The sequence below is a fragment of the Homo sapiens genome, chromosome 14, assembly GCF_000001405.40.
Source record: "Homo sapiens chromosome 14, GRCh38.p14 Primary Assembly".
Classification (NCBI taxonomy): domain Eukaryota; kingdom Metazoa; phylum Chordata; class Mammalia; order Primates; family Hominidae; genus Homo; species Homo sapiens.
Genome location: NC_000014.9, coordinates 50,760,360 through 50,775,720, shown reverse-complemented (window position 1 = coordinate 50,775,720; position 15,361 = coordinate 50,760,360). Strand labels below are relative to the sequence as shown.

At 41.3% G+C, this 15,361-nt stretch overlaps 1 protein-coding gene across 31 annotated transcripts in view, besides 1 other annotated feature; it reads left to right on the top strand.

Moving 5' to 3' along the window:
- The window catches only part of NIN (ninein), a 111,741-nt gene that overhangs the window by 55,783 nt on the left and 40,597 nt on the right, over positions 1–15,361 (top strand). For 22 of the 31 annotated variants that reach the window (XM_047431453.1, XM_047431438.1, XM_047431450.1 and 19 more), the window contains 9 exons: positions 2,626–2,772; positions 3,253–3,420; positions 4,253–4,389; positions 4,729–4,869; positions 5,159–5,333; positions 8,831–8,941; positions 9,325–9,414; positions 11,757–11,895; positions 13,810–13,931. In XM_047431453.1, the coding sequence (XP_047287409.1) occupies positions 2,626–2,772; positions 3,253–3,420; positions 4,253–4,389; positions 4,729–4,869; positions 5,159–5,333; positions 8,831–8,941; positions 9,325–9,414; positions 11,757–11,895; positions 13,810–13,931 (1,230 nt within the window). The remainder of the gene's footprint in view (positions 1–2,625; positions 2,773–3,252; positions 3,421–4,252; positions 4,390–4,728; positions 4,870–5,158; positions 5,334–8,830; positions 8,942–9,324; positions 9,415–11,756; positions 11,896–13,809; positions 13,932–15,361) is intronic. The other 9 variants (XM_047431452.1, XM_047431439.1, XM_047431442.1 and 6 more) reach the window with 1 other exon arrangement.
- Positions 15,274–15,343: an enhancer, noted in NCBI's record as "active region_8363". NCBI's record gives its function as "activates an Ori minimal core promoter by ATAC-STARR-seq in GM12878 lymphoblastoid cells {active_cell/tissue: GM12878}" and the evidence as "EXISTENCE:reporter gene assay evidence [ECO:0000049][PMID:35858748]".

Genomic DNA, 15,361 nt, shown 5'->3' with positions numbered 1-15,361 from the left:
CTGTAGCTACTTGTGGAGAGCTGCATGTTCTTCTGTGGTGGTTTCCAAAGCTCAGGAAAAGAAGTAGCACATTTAGTTATTTTCCTCTGGCCTGAGGACAAGTAGAGGATTGCTCATAGAATATAACTTTTACTTAGTGTTTTTCCTGCTAAAGAAAAATAGTGAAATTCTATAGTACTTAGTATTACTAGCTCTAAACCACAGAGGAGCTGGAAGTTCAAGATGATCTCATTTACTTGGAATCCTAAAATTTTACAACTGAACGCCATTTTAGATTTAGTCACCTCTCATTTTATAGGTAGAGAGAGTGAAATCGTGGCTGTTCCCTGCTTTCATGAAGGGGAACTAGAGTCACTGTCTTATGCCTGTAACTAGCACACTCCTTTCCGAAAGCAAGAACAATGACAGGGCAGAGATGCAAACCAGCATGCCCGATGCCGAATCTGGCCCCAAGCCTATTTTACTTGTCATGCCCAGTGTTTTTAAAATTGAACTTTTTGCTACATTGAAAAAAAAAATCAGGAGATTTTTCTAAAACTCCAAAGATTTGGCTCCATTTTATGGGCAGTAAGATGCAGCCAGCCCCTTTGGAGAGGACATGCACTCCTGTGTTCAGTTTCCCAGCACTCGCTACTTTCTGATGTCTTAAACCCATCTTGCCTCATTCGTTGACATCATCTTCCGGGCCTCTTTGAGTGTTTGGGTTTGTGATTATTTTCCAACTTACACTTCAGCAAACCAGCTATCCAAAGACCTGGTCCATGTAAGAATAAGAATGTCCTCACAGTTCCAGAGACAGCTCCTGCTCAAAGTGTAGAGCGTGCCCCAGTTGGCCATTTAACCGGCATTGTTTTCTGCCTAGCCCCGGCCCCGTCTTCTGAATCCACACTCTTCTATTCATCACTTGCCCACTCCACCATCTAAAATAACTGGAAGGACTTTCCAGGTGCGAGGTCTTTAGGCAGTCTGGAAGCTGTGCACTGATTTGGCTAATGTCACAAGGTCAAGCAGTGTGGATCTAATGTTAGAGCCAAACTTTTAACCTTGTTAACTTCAGTCAACACACCTGGACTTGACAGTAATTTCTGGTACAAAGGTCCTGAAAGCCTTGTCCTCCAGGAAAATATTATTTTGGTTGATAAGAACAGGATAGAAAAGTTAAGGGATCTTGGCAACCTCAGAATCTTGCCCCAAATATCTTTCCATTGATTTGATCCTCTTTTAGGAATTGTTGCTTCTTGCAAACGTTTCCACTCTTTAGAATGGTTTTCTTGTTTCAGAGTTCCCTCCAGAGGAAGTCGTATGAAAGCAAGAATGGAAACTAATGTTTCCTGTTGGGTATGAATTGGGGAAAAAAAAGCATTTGAGATGAGAGAATTGCCTCAAGCCCTTACATGAAGAATGAAATCAACAATAGTGAGATCGTATAAATCCTAGCAGTAGTCCAGATTTACAAAAGGAATATTAGAAGCTTGAGAATGTGTTGCAGAGAATTTAGGCCTGTGTTAGAATGAGTCCAGTTGTAGGCTCAAATGCAACAAGAGCAATTTGTTGCTTATTCTGTCTCCTTACTGCTCAGTGGCATGGGCCTTAACTGGGAGCTTGTTAGAAATGCCGAAATCTGAATCCCCACACCACCAGACTTACCATATTAGAGTCTTCATTTTAACAAGCTCTCCAAGAGATTTCCATTTTGTACATTGGAGGCATGTTCCTATAGAAACATTTTAACCCCAGAATAAAGAGGAATCTGACTGCTAGTGGGAGGGCTTTGCCTTTCCTCCTCGTTCTGTGGCTTCAATGATCCACGTTGCTCTATTCACCTTCCCATTCCTCTGTGGAGCTAGGGAACCAGCCATTCCCAGGCAAGCCTCTAGATGGGGCTGTAGCCCAATCTCCCCTTCCCTATTACAGGATAGGGGCTATTTGATTACCATCAGAGGGTGCGGACTAGCCAGTCAAAACTCCCTTGCCTTTACATGTCTTGGAACCCTTCTATTGCACACACATAAAGTCTTTGTTTTTCCTGTGCTAAAACATTAAAGCAAAAAGCCAACACACTCAGTATTGTTACAAGTAAGGTTCTAAACCCCAAGTTATGGATTTCAGATTCCAAATCTTAATTGTAATCAGATCATTGTAATCTGTCCCAGACCAAATTCTGCTGTGCTAGCCTACCAATTTCAAAAATTCAACATAAAGAAAATATCACTGAGGGTCACCACAGTATAAAAGTGTAACAGATGTCCAACCACTTTCTACTGTTATGACACTGGGAAGCTTGTATCTTTATATTATTTAGGTATTTTTTAAAATTTGTAAGAATAATGTGTAACAACATTAAAGACTGCCTATTGTAGGAGTGTGAGTAAAAGAGAATATAGTTAATTGCTAAATTGCATAAGATTATGAAGATGTTGGAAATTGACTTTTATTTAGTTTGTGGGAAGGAGGAGGGCATATCATTACTGGAAAGGGAAACCAGTAAAGTGAGAATAAAGGGGCATAATTATATTTCTGGAGTCCTGGGACCAACCATGGTACTGATTACTACTGGCCGGAAGTATACTTTGGGCCTTGTATACTTGAATGGAGTATTTAAAATATGTGATGACTCTTTTCTAGATGCTCGAGGAAGTATTCCATAATCTTGATCCTGACGGTACAATGAGTGTAGAAGATTTTTTCTATGGTTTGTTTAAAAATGGAAAATCTCTTACACCATCAGCATCTACTCCATATAGACAACTAAAAAGGCACCTTTCCATGCAGGTAAAAAATAAGCAGAAGTGCTTTCTTTGTGAATAAAAGTTAGAACCCATTTAAGTAATGTCTAATAAATTAATCTGTTGTCTGAAGCAAAATACTAAGGAAAGAGAGGGAAGCAAAAGAAGAATTAGAAAGACTTAACCATTAGGAAGGAAAGGTTGGGTTTGAGAAATGACCGTAAATTACAGTGGAAAGACCACTAATTATGCCTTGTCATGTCAGCTCTGGGTCAGAAGAAACCTGGTGTTAATTAGGGACATATCTCGTCTATGTCATAGAACTCTCTACCAAAACAGTTGGTTTTGATAAGCTCCGTAGGCTTGACTCAGTTGGGAACAGAGATCAGAGAGGCTGCATGACTTTTTTCCTGGCACTGTATATTAGAGAAACATGCCTTCTACCCATCGTGGTCAGGGCTGACCAATATCTTGTTGAAATGCCTGGAATCAAGCTAGGCTTACTCAAGTCTCTTCCTCCTTCCAGTCTTTCGATGAGAGTGGACGACGTACCACAACCTCATCAGCAATGACAAGTACCATTGGCTTTCGGGTCTTCTCCTGCCTGGATGATGGGATGGGCCATGCATCTGTGGAGAGAATACTGGACACCTGGCAGGAAGAGGGCATTGAGAACAGCCAGGAGATCCTGAAGGTGTGGCAGCTAAAATTGAGAAAAATGACAAACTGGAGAAGGGTTGAAAATTTTCAATTTTATTTTTTGGAAACTGTGATTTGATTTTCTTTCTTCTTAATGGTACTTCTGTTCACAAAGTCTCAAAGATAAAAGGTAACTTTTTTTTTAGCCCTTTTAACCAGGAGCCTTTTGTTAAGTACTTTCCGTGTTTTTAACCCCCAGATTATTGACATGAGAAATACTCTTACAATTGTGTTTATTTACAGGGCCAGATAGTGTTGTTGTTGTTGTTGTTGTGTTTTTTTTTTGTTTTTTGTTGTTTGTTTTTTTTTTGAGACGGAGTCTCGTTTTATCACCTGGACTGGAGTATAACGGTGTGATCTCGGCTCACTGCAACCTCCGCCTCCTGGGGTTCAAGAGATTCTCCTGCCTCTGCCTCCCAAGTAGCTGGGACTACAGGCGCACACCACCATGCCCGGCTATTTTTGTATTTTTAGTAGAGACAGGGTTTCACCGTGTTGGCCAGGATGGTCTTGAGCTCCTGACCTCAAATGATCCGCATGCCTCGGCCTCCCAAAGTGCTGGGATTACGGGCGTGAGCCACTGCACCTGGCCAAGATAATTTTTTTTTTTTCTTTTTAACACAAATAACCATGTTATGCTTTCCTTAGAGAAAACTTAACTGTGTTCTAGACTGATGGCTGTTCCTAAGCAATCACCAAAGCAATGGAATTGTCTAATTGCTAGATCATTGTCAGCTCTCAGAGTTTGTATAGCCTTCACATTTTCTGCTTTCAGAGGATGGAATGAGTGATTTGTTTTTGAATTTACGCCTTGCTCTGATTTCTAGGCCTTGGATTTCAGCCTCGATGGAAACATCAATTTGACAGAATTAACACTGGCCCTTGAAAATGAACTTTTGGTTACCAAGAACAGCATTCACCAGGCGGCTCTGGCCAGCTTTAAGGCTGAAATCCGGCATTTGTTGTGAGTTGAGCAGAAGGTTCGCCTGCCCCATTCCCTTTCCTACTTGTCCAGCAAGTCATTCGGATGCCTTGGATGGACATCCTTCTATTCTGTATGCAAATGTTGCTCATCTTCTATCCAACTGCTGCACACATCTTCCTTAAAGTATAGGAAAATTAAGGAGAACTTAGATTGACATGTAGGCTTTTGAAGGGAAGGGTGGAGTGCCTTTTTGCTTTGGGAGGGTTTTGGTTGTCTTGGTTTTGCTTCTGTATTGATGCAAGCCAGATGAGAGCTTTTCTGGGTCTACTTGTTGCTTAGAAACAGTTTCCCATTAACTCAGTGTACTTCTGATCCTAGGGAACGAGTTGATCAGGTGGTCAGAGAAAAAGAGAAGCTACGGTCAGATCTGGACAAGGCCGAGAAGCTCAAGTCTTTAATGGCCTCGGAGGTGGATGATCACCATGCGGCCATAGAGCGGCGGAATGAGTACAACCTCAGGTGAGGCCAGCAGAGTGAGGCTCCTCCTCACCCACCACCCTGGCCCAGGGCAGTGGCGCCTGCAGCTGCAGGGGCAGAACAGTGCACTGGGGACTCTTCTGGTCAGCCTGTTGGCCACACCTTGCTGGAGTGACTCAGATGTGGTCAAGCCCTAAGGGAAAGCAGGGTACACTAGATATTTTATCCAGGTGCTTTTCATCTCTGTGCCTCTGTGTTTCCATTTTTGGTAGATTGATACTGGGACCTCTGAAAGACGTGATGGCAGCTTGTCCATTTTTCTTCGTTACAGGAAACTGGATGAAGAGTACAAGGAGCGAATAGCAGCCTTAAAAAATGAACTCCGAAAAGAGAGAGAGCAGATCCTGCAGCAGGCAGGCAAGCAGCGTTTAGAACTTGAACAGGAAATTGAAAAGGCAAAAACAGAAGAGAACTATATCCGGGACCGCCTTGCCCTCTCTTTAAAGGTAATCATCTTATTAGTTCTGTGGTCTGCGTCCCTGCCGGGAACACCACGTGGAAAACTACAGCTTTGGAAGTGGGCATGTTTGCACAGGGTTCAGTCCAAAAATCCTCCAAGTTTGCCCAGCTGGGTCTTCACCCAGACTTGGCAGGGCCCTGCTAAAATCTGGATTTCAGCAGGGCTACCCAGGCTCCTGCTTTGCTCACAGTATTGATTAGCATCTCTTGTTCTTCTCTCCCACTGCGGGTTCACTAGGTCTTCAGGGCTGTTTGGCACCTGGCTGACCCCTTGATTCCTCCCGCTGCTACTCCAAACCTGGCCCTCACCCTCAGATCCCCATCTTCTCGCCTGCCCGCCCCCCTCATTCTCAGCAGATGGTCTTGCCTCCTGCTACATGGATGCCTGTTTCTCCCGGCCTCCAAATGTGCCTTTTCTTTTTTTTTTTTTTTGAGATGGGGTCTCACTCTGTCACCCAGACTGGAGCGCAGCGGTGCAGTTATAACTTACCACAGCCTCAAACTCCTGGCCCCAAGTGATCCTCCAGCCTCGGCCTGCCAAGTAGCTGGGACTATAGGCTCATGTTATTATGCTCAGCTAATTAAAAAATGTGTTTTGTAATCCCAGCACTTTCAGAGGCCGAGGCAGGCATATCACTTGAGGTCAGGAATTCGAGACCAGCCTGGCCAACATCGTGAAACCCTGTCTCTACTAAAAATACAAAAAATTAGCAGGGTGTGGTGGTGTGTGCCTATAATCCCAGCTACGCAGGAGGCTGAGGCAGGAGAATTGCTTGAACCTGGGAGGCAGAGGAAGTTGCAGTGAGCAGAGATTGTGCCACTGGACTCCAGCCTAGGCGACAGAGCAAGACTCTGGATCTAAAAGAAAAAAAAAATGGTAGAAACGGGGTCTCATTATGATGCCTAGGCTGGTATCAAACCCTGGCCTCAAGTGATCCTCCCACCTCGGCCTCCAAATGTGCCTTGCCTCTCAAACATCCTCCCCTCTTTCCTGTGTCTCAGTGAAAGAAGTGGTCCTTCTCTTTGCTGGACTCTTACACCATATAATAAGGTGCAAGGGCTCTGGAGTCAGGCTGCCTGGTTTAGATCTGGGTACCACCACTTACTGAAAACTTTGATCAGGTTCCTCAGCCTGTTTCCTAATGTTAAAAATGGGCACCATAATAATACCTACCCTATAGCACTGATGTGTGGGCTAAATGAGATGAGGCACATACAGTGTCTGGAAAACAATAAGTACATGTGAAATGTTTGCTGTTATTGCTATCGCAAAAGGTTCTTGATACTCCACACATCAAAAACTGAGGTAATTATTACTCCCTAGCCATCTAACTGTTTCATTTCGTGAATTTCTCCCCAATCAACATCAACACCATGAGGTGTAAGTCTCAGAAGCTAAAATTCCTCGTCATCTTCCCTCATGATTACTCATCAGCCTGTAAGTTATGTTGATGCTCCAAAGTGACTCTCAGATTTATCTCCTTCCTCTGCATTTCCCCAGCCTCTGATTAGGTTCAGAATTCATCATGATGTCTCAGCTAATTAATGTGTATCCTGAACAGTTCTTTCTTCCATCTCTTCCACCTCCATATGGCTACCAGTTACTTAGCTAAATATCCGTTACAATCATGCTGTTACCACCCTTTGCAAAAAAACAACAAAAACAATGTGTTAGCAGTCAAGGCTCTTGAAAAGGAGCTCGTCCTCATACCTTTCAAACTTGAGCTGCTGCCACCAAGTCCCAGTGCCATGCCCTCCCCCACCCCACTGCACCTACCCCAGCTCTCCCCGTGCCTCAGAGGGCAGAGCACATTTATGCCCCTTCACTGCTTTCCCCAACACTGCAGGCCAAATTACTTTTTCATTCCCATTACATTTACTTTTTTCTTGCCAAGAGATAGCACATTTCCTACTGGGTCATATAGAGTTGTATCCACATCTGCCTCCCTCCCAAGATAACAACAGTATCTGATTTGTCAATTTCCAGAGCACCAGCACTGCCTGATACACAGAGATTACTCTATGTTGTTCTAGGCTCTACATTTAGGTGTACTTTGAAAGATTAATGTTACAGAATTGGCATTTTAGGGGAAGGTAGTATTTTTTAAATGCTCTAAGTACATTTTTTTTTTACTTATATTGCTGTATGAGGGTGTGAACTAGAATATACTAAAAATATACTGGCTCTGTATTCTTTTGGCAAAATGTTCTTAGAAAATGATGTTCTTCCAATCAGCCTTTAACACTGGAAAAGAAAAATGTCAAATGGCACGTCTGTGTGTGTGTGTGTGTGTGTGTGTGTGTGTGTGTGTGTGTGTGTGTTGGCAAATGTGGTTGGAAATCTTTCTTAAAAATACTATATATACAGATCCTTTTAAAAAAACTTTTATGGGTTTTAGTTGATGTGTTATTATAATATAAACATATACAAATTATGAGCAATTCATATGTACAGTTTTTATATCTTTAAACCAAAAGAAATTTATAAATTAAATATAAACCAAATCATAATATCAATAAATTGATTTTAGAGTTGCTCTACTTTTTTTTTTTTTTTTGAGATGGAGTCTTGCTGTGTCGCCCAGGCTGGAGTGCAGTGGCGCCATCTCGGCTCACTGCAAGCTCCACCTCCCGGGTTCACACCATTCTCCCGCCTCAGCCTCCCAAGTAGCTGGGACTACAGGCGCCCGCCACCACACCTGGCTAATTTTTTGTATTTTTAGTAGAGACGGGGTTTCACCGTGTTCGCCAGGATGGTCTCGATCTCCTGACCTCATGATCCGCCCACCTTGGCCTCCCAAAGTGCTGGGATTACAGGCGTGAGCCACTATGCCTGGCCTAGAGTTACTCTACTTTTTATACTTTTTCTGAGTTCTCTTTTGCTGGCAGCTGAACAAGGTATTTTGTAATCATTTTCTTTCATTTGTCAATATTATGTATTGAGAATATTTTCATATTCTACTGCAATGCTGTCCAATAGATACACATACGTGGCCTGCATTATAATTTCAGTTTGCAAATAGCCACATTGAAAGGTGAAAAGAAACAGGTGAAACTAATTTCAAATAATCTTGTTTAATCCAGTATCTCTAAAACATTATCATTTTGACACATTATCAGTATACAAAAAATATTACTGAGCTATTTTACATTTTGGGGCTATTCAAAGTCTGGTGTCTATTTTAAACTTACAGTTTGTACTAGACACACTTCAAGGGCCCAGTACCCAGTATGGCTACTAGCAGCTACCTGTTTTGGACAGCACAGTTCTACGTGGTCAAAAACAAAAGGGCAAACTTATTTTGTTGTTATAAAATAGATATCAACCTTTTATATTTACTTTTGCCTCCTGTAGTCTACTACAGCTTTTAAGATAGATAAACATCTTTAATCTACGGTACTGATTTATGCTGTATATAAAATAGTACCACAGTTTGCTAATTTCTTAATCTGTACCACATTTAATTTCCCCATACTTGTTCAGGAAAACAGTCGTCTGGAAAATGAGCTTCTAGAAAATGCAGAGAAGTTGGCAGAATATGAGAATCTGACAAACAAACTTCAGAGAAATTTGGAAAATGTGTTAGCAGAAAAGGTAAACCTGTTCAAATCTCATTTCCTGATAGGCAGCCTACTTTATGTAGTTTACTCAAAAGAACAGGAGCAATGCCACCAGAACATTTTTATTAGGCAATTACTGGGGTAGCTAAATGGTGCTCTAACTTTTGTAGGGATATAATTTACTAAGTTGGTTATGAAGGAGAACATTGCCTGGCACTGAGAAATGATCCCTGTGTTCATTGAACACGTCACTCTAGTGCGTTCTCCCCATCACCCAGTTGGTGTTGTTCGTGCTTACATGTCACATTCCTATCATACTCAAGAGACTGGGTGAATACCAGAAACTGGGCCTTTGCTGTGTTGGGTCAAAGAAGGGCACTCGGGAAAAATGACAGCTTTGCCCTTTTCCCCTTCTAGTTTGGTGACCTCGATCCTAGCAGTGCTGAGTTCTTCCTGCAAGAAGAGAGACTGACACAGATGAGAAATGAATATGAGCGGCAGTGCAGGGTAGGTAGACAAAGAGAACTGAGTAAGTGCAGGAGTGCCTGGGTTCAGACCCCAGCTTCCCCGTTCCCTAGCTCTGTGACCCTAAGCAAGTCACTTCATCTGTGGGTACTTCCATTCCTCATGCATAAAATGGTAAAAATAAAAGTACCCACCACAAAATGTTGTAGCAAAAATTCCATCAGTGAGTATATGTAAAGTGCTTAGAGCAGAGCCAAGGATAGAGTAAGCACTTACATAAATGTTAGCTATTCACATGGACACAGGAAGGGGAATATTACACTCTGGGGACTGTTGTGGGGTGGGGGGAGGGGAGAGGGATAGCACCGGGAGATATACCTGATGCTAGATGACGAGTTAGTGGGTGCAGCGCACCAGCATGGCGCATGTATACATATGTAACTAACCTGCACAATGTGCACATGTACCCTAAAGCTTAAAGTATAATAAAATTAAAAAAAAAAAACATAAATGTTAGCTATTAACATTATTATTCAAAAATTAGCCTTTCCTGATTGATCATTGCAGATCTAATCTGACGTGATTTGGTTTTGTCCTGTGGGTTTTTTTTTTTCTGAATACATTTTTTACTCCATTTATTTATAAAATGCAAATGAAACAGAAAACCACTCAAGTCTTAGCTAGTAAATCATTCCCAATTTCGGCCAGGAGAGATGGAAACATTTTTACAAGTAACAAGAATCTTTGATTTTAAAAAAATTCCCCTAAAGTTAGGAATTTGAATTTTTTTCTTAAACCAGAAACACGTGTTTATTTTAATGAGACAAATATAACTGAGTTCCAGCTACTTAGATAAAAAGTTTAATTGTGCAGAGATGAGTAAAACAATCATATTATGAAGTTACTTGCAGCCCTCCTTTTCAGGAAATATACATACATGGTTAAGAAAACATTTCTACTGCTTTTATAATTAAATTTTAGCTCTTGGTTCTAATTAAATAGAGGTATTTTCTAAATGTCTTTACATTTAATGAATTCATCAGTAAAAGCTGTCAGCTCTACCTTCAGAAATTCCCCCAGTTCATCCACTTGTTTTCTTTCTTACTTTTTTTAAGACGGAATCTAGCTCTGTCACCCAGGCTGGAGTACGGTGGTGTGATCGCAGCTCACTGCAACCTCCACCTCCTGGGTTCAAGCAGTTCTCCTGCCTCAGCCTCCCGAGTAGCTGGGATTGCAGGTGTCTGCCAAACGCCTAATTTTTTTTTTTTTTTTTTTTTTTTTTTTTAAGTAGAGACAGGGTTTCACCATGTTGGCCAGGCTGGTCTTGAACTCCTGACCTCAGGTGATCTGCCCACCCAGCCTCATCCACTTGTTTTCTTAACAGCTTTATACACTATATGTTTTACCCATTGAAGGTATAAATTCAGTCTTTTATTGTATTGACAGAATTGTGCAAACATCACCGCATTCAATTTTAGAACATTTTCATCACCCCAGGAAGAAACCCCTTCTCCACTTAGCCATAATCTCTCCCAAGCCCCCTAGCTCTAGGCAATTATTAGTGTACTTTGTGTCTCTACAGATTTGCATATTCTATACATTTCATATAAATGGAATCTTACAATATTAGCCCTTGAGACCGGCTTCCTTCATTTAACATAATGTTTTTAAAGTTCATCCATGTTGTAGCGTGTATCAGTTCTTCATTTCTTGAATAATATTCCATTGCGTAGATATACCACATTTTGTTTATTAATTCACCGGTTAAGGGACATTTGGGGGATTTTGGCTATTATGAGTAACGCAGCTATGAAAATTTGTGCGCACGTTTTTGTATGGGCATATATCTAGGAGTAGAATTGCTAGGTTGTATGGTAACCCTATGTTTAACCGTTTTAGGAACTGCTAAACTTCTTGCAAAGTGGTTGCACTGTTTTATATTCCCACTAGTATGATAGTTCCAATTGCTCCACTTCTTCACCAACAGTCGTTATTGTATGTCTTTTTGATTCTAGCCACCCTAGTAAGTGTGAAATGGTATCTTATTGTGGCTTTGATTTGTATTTCCCTGATAGGTAATGATATTGAATATCTTTTACATGTATGTATTAGTCATCTGTATATCATCATTAGAGAAATATCAATTCAGATCATTTGCCCATTTTTAAAATTGTCTTATTATTGAGCTATAATAGTCTTTATATATTCTAGTTACAAGTCCCTTATCAGATACTTAATTTGCAAAACATTTCTACTTTCTTGATAGTGTCCTTTGAAGCACAAAAGATTTTGTTTTGATGATATCCAATTTATCTTTTTTGTTGTTGTTGTTGCTTATGCTTTTGGTGTCACATCTAAGACCAGTGTTGGTTTTTAAATCCCAGGTACTACAAGACCAAGTAGATGAACTCCAGTCTGAGCTGGAAGAATATCGTGCACAAGGCAGAGTGCTCAGGCTTCCGTTGAAGAACTCACCGTCAGAAGAAGTTGAGGCTAACAGCGGTGGCATTGAGCCCGAACACGGTAAACACATTCGGACAGGCTGTAGATAAAGCCTTTACTCTTGTTTTTAGAAACGTGGTTCAATATAAAATTGCAAAGCTTTGGCAACTTGAAAAAAGAAAAAAAAAAAAAAGAATTTGGCCATACTCTTTTCTTGAGCTGTTTCACTTGTGGTCTCGTTTTTCATTTGTCCTTGAAGTTTTTATGAGAACATTTCCATCTGATTTTGATATGCGTCAACAAAGGAATGGAAGAATCAAACCACAAGGGTATTTGCTTTGTTAACAAAACAAACAAAAAACTGGCTGCAAATCTGGGAATCCAGGCCTTGGGAGTGTTAGAATTCAGACACTGAGCTATTGCTGTCCTCTTCGAAGAGAGTGTGTAACTCATATGAAGATGGTTTTGGAGAGCAGGCCAGCCAGATACTACAGAATCCATAGCTGGTTTTCTTATACGGGCTGTGCTGAATGTCTGTATTGCCTCAGCAGAACAAAGAAGATAAATAAGGGCTGGCCTCCTGGCCTTTGAGGAAGATTTTGAGTGGCAAGTTTGGAAGGCAGAGTTTGGGAGCCTCCTGCATTAACTATGAGCTCCTTTCCTCTCTCCTGATAGCCTACCTCTTTTCTCGGGGGTGTTGAGTTTAAATTTCAGAGACAGCTCATAATCAGTTATTCTGTTATAAATAACTTTCCCCAGTGCTATTGGGGATAGGAGTGTCGTTCTTACACAGGTTGTTTATTCCTCCTCTTACTGCAGAATAATTAACAGATTGGGGAAGGAGGAGACAAAGAGGCCTTAAGACCTCCCCTCTGATTCTTAGCTCATTCCAGTCTGAGGATCTCATAATATGATATATCTCGGCAGCTGTTATGGACTTTTCCATAGATGGCCAAGTGTTGGGGTTGTTCCTCATGAGGACAAGAAGCTGTACCATCGTGGTGTGGCTCACACCCTGGGTGTTACTTCTCATTTGGGAATATGCCATCAAATATGAAGAGAAGACCCAAAGCAAGACTGCCAGTTGCAGCTGCTAGACATATACCCAAGAAAAGTTCCTTTCTTCCATCTGCCTGTGTATCCCCACATGCAAAGCTATTTTGGGTCCCACTGCCTTAAGAGATTAGTCATAATCTTTTCTTCTGTGTACAAGCTCAGCCCCCAACTTATGCTTCACATTTTCAGTGTCATTCTCAGTCATCGTCGTGGGCAGTTGCAGAGATGAGCTCATGCATGAGTTAAGAATTTCTACCCACAACTGCCTGTATCCTGGTTCCTAACCTATGCCCTGTTTTTTAAAATTTTAGCTGATAATATGCTAAAATTATGCTGATAATAGCTAAAATATGATAATTTTAGCCAATAATAGCTGATAAGATAAAATGGGGATCTACCCACACTCTAGGAAATTCATAGGAAATAGGCAGTCTTCTGTAATGCTGAGTGATGGGTTGTTGATAGTGTGACCCATGAAGCTAACTCCTCAGGGCATCGCAGCAAGTATGCTGGCCGTTCATTTTCCTGCCACATCGTCATTCAGTATTTGTTGGATGGGTAGGAGTCTGGTTGGTTTGACCAAACTACCTCATGCTATTACCTCAATTTGCAGCATTTGCATTAGGAGGTAGCTACCTATAAGCAACAATTTCCACCCCCGCCGCCCCACCACCTACTATTCTAAGAGATGGATTCTATTAAGGTTTTTTCCACTGCCTGTACATGAAAGAATCTGTTCACCTTCATTTCTTCTTGTTTGCCCTAACGCTTGAAAAGAGAAAAGACTTCTCTTGGCCTCTGTTATTTCCTATTAGTTCACATCTCTGGTAATTCAGGCTGAAAATCATTCCTTAGTTAAACTGGATGTCCCTCCTCAGATGCCACACTGTGTTATTGAAAGAACCTGCTGCAGGATCAATGAGTCCCATGTGTTTTCAGGGCTCGGTTCTGAAGAATGCAATCCATTGAATATGAGCATTGAGGCAGAGCTGGTCATTGAACAGATGAAAGAACAACATCACAGGGACATATGTTGCCTCAGACTGGAGCTCGAAGATAAAGTAAGTCCTTCCCACCAATCCACTTCTCTAATTTCTTTTGGCTCTGACAGGCTTATGTGTGTAGGGCATTTCCAATTCTTTTTTCTCATAGAGCAGCACATTCTATGTTGGGAACCCACATCCTCAGGATGGTTTTGTAGGCTGACAGCAAGGCCCCTTTTTTCTGGAGAGTTTCTCCAAAATGTAATATCTTCAGCCCTGGCAATCATGGAACTTGAAGCTTGAAACCCATTATATTATCTCCCAATTTCTTTTTTAAAAACATCTCAGTGAAACCAAAAAAAGCCCTTTGATGTTTCATTGCCTACTAAATTAGGTACAAGTTCTGAACCTTGGCCTCTAAACTCTTCACCATGAGACTTCAACTGACGTTTCCAGTCCAGACTTCAACTGACCGTTCTTATGAGTTACCTTATCCTCCAGCTAAATTGGGTAGTTCCTAGTTGTCCATCACACTCTGTCCTCTTTTGCTTGTGCTGTTACAAACTATGCTGATATTAGTTTCTTTCTGCCTCTCGAAAGTCTACTTACCCTTCAGGATTTATATTTAATGCTGCCTCTTGCATGAAGCCATTCTTGAATTTCTCCAACTAAAATGTGATTTTTTTCCCTCCTTTGAGTCCCTGGGTTACATTGTAGCTCTTTTTTGTATACCTTTTATTTTCTGCCTCCTACTGTACTTATAGTTGTCATATCCATGTCTAGACTGGTTTCTCCTGGATAGCAGGGACCATATCTTACCCAGCGTTGTATTCCGAGGCCTGCAAGTACCTGATAGGTGTTCAATTAATATTTGAATTTAATTAAGTATTTTAAGACCCAGCAGGGTACAGTGGCTCATGCCTGTAATCTCAACATTTTGGGAGGTCGAGGTGGGCAGACCACTTGAGCCTAGGAGTTCAAGACCAGTCTGGGCAACATGGTGAGACCCCGTCTCTACCAAGAAAAAAAAATTAGGGCACGGTGGTGTGTGCCTTTAGTCCCAACTACTCAGGAGGCTGAGGTGGGAGGATTGCTTGAGCCCAGGAGATGGAGATTTCAGTGAGCCATAATTACGCCACTGCACTTCAGCTTGGGTGACAGAGTGAGAACCTGTCTCAAAAAATATATATGTTCCAAGACTCAAGTTTACAGTTGGAAAGGATGCATGGGAAGACAGAGGGTAGCTATGTGTAATGGCTGCTCAGTTCTTAATAAGGTTGTTCAGACACTAATAAAATTCAGCCACTTAAAAGAGATATGTAAACCATGCCTGACTTAAGTATCTTGCTTAAAGTGTTGAATTCAGTTACTTTAAAACAAGATAGAGAAATGAGAAATGTCTTGTAGGGAAAAAAAAAAAAAAAAAAAAAGCAATTGCTGCTCCATCACTTCACTTTCAGTGACCTTGAGCTGAGTAATCTTGTGGTGGTGTCACTCTGTGCCTTCAG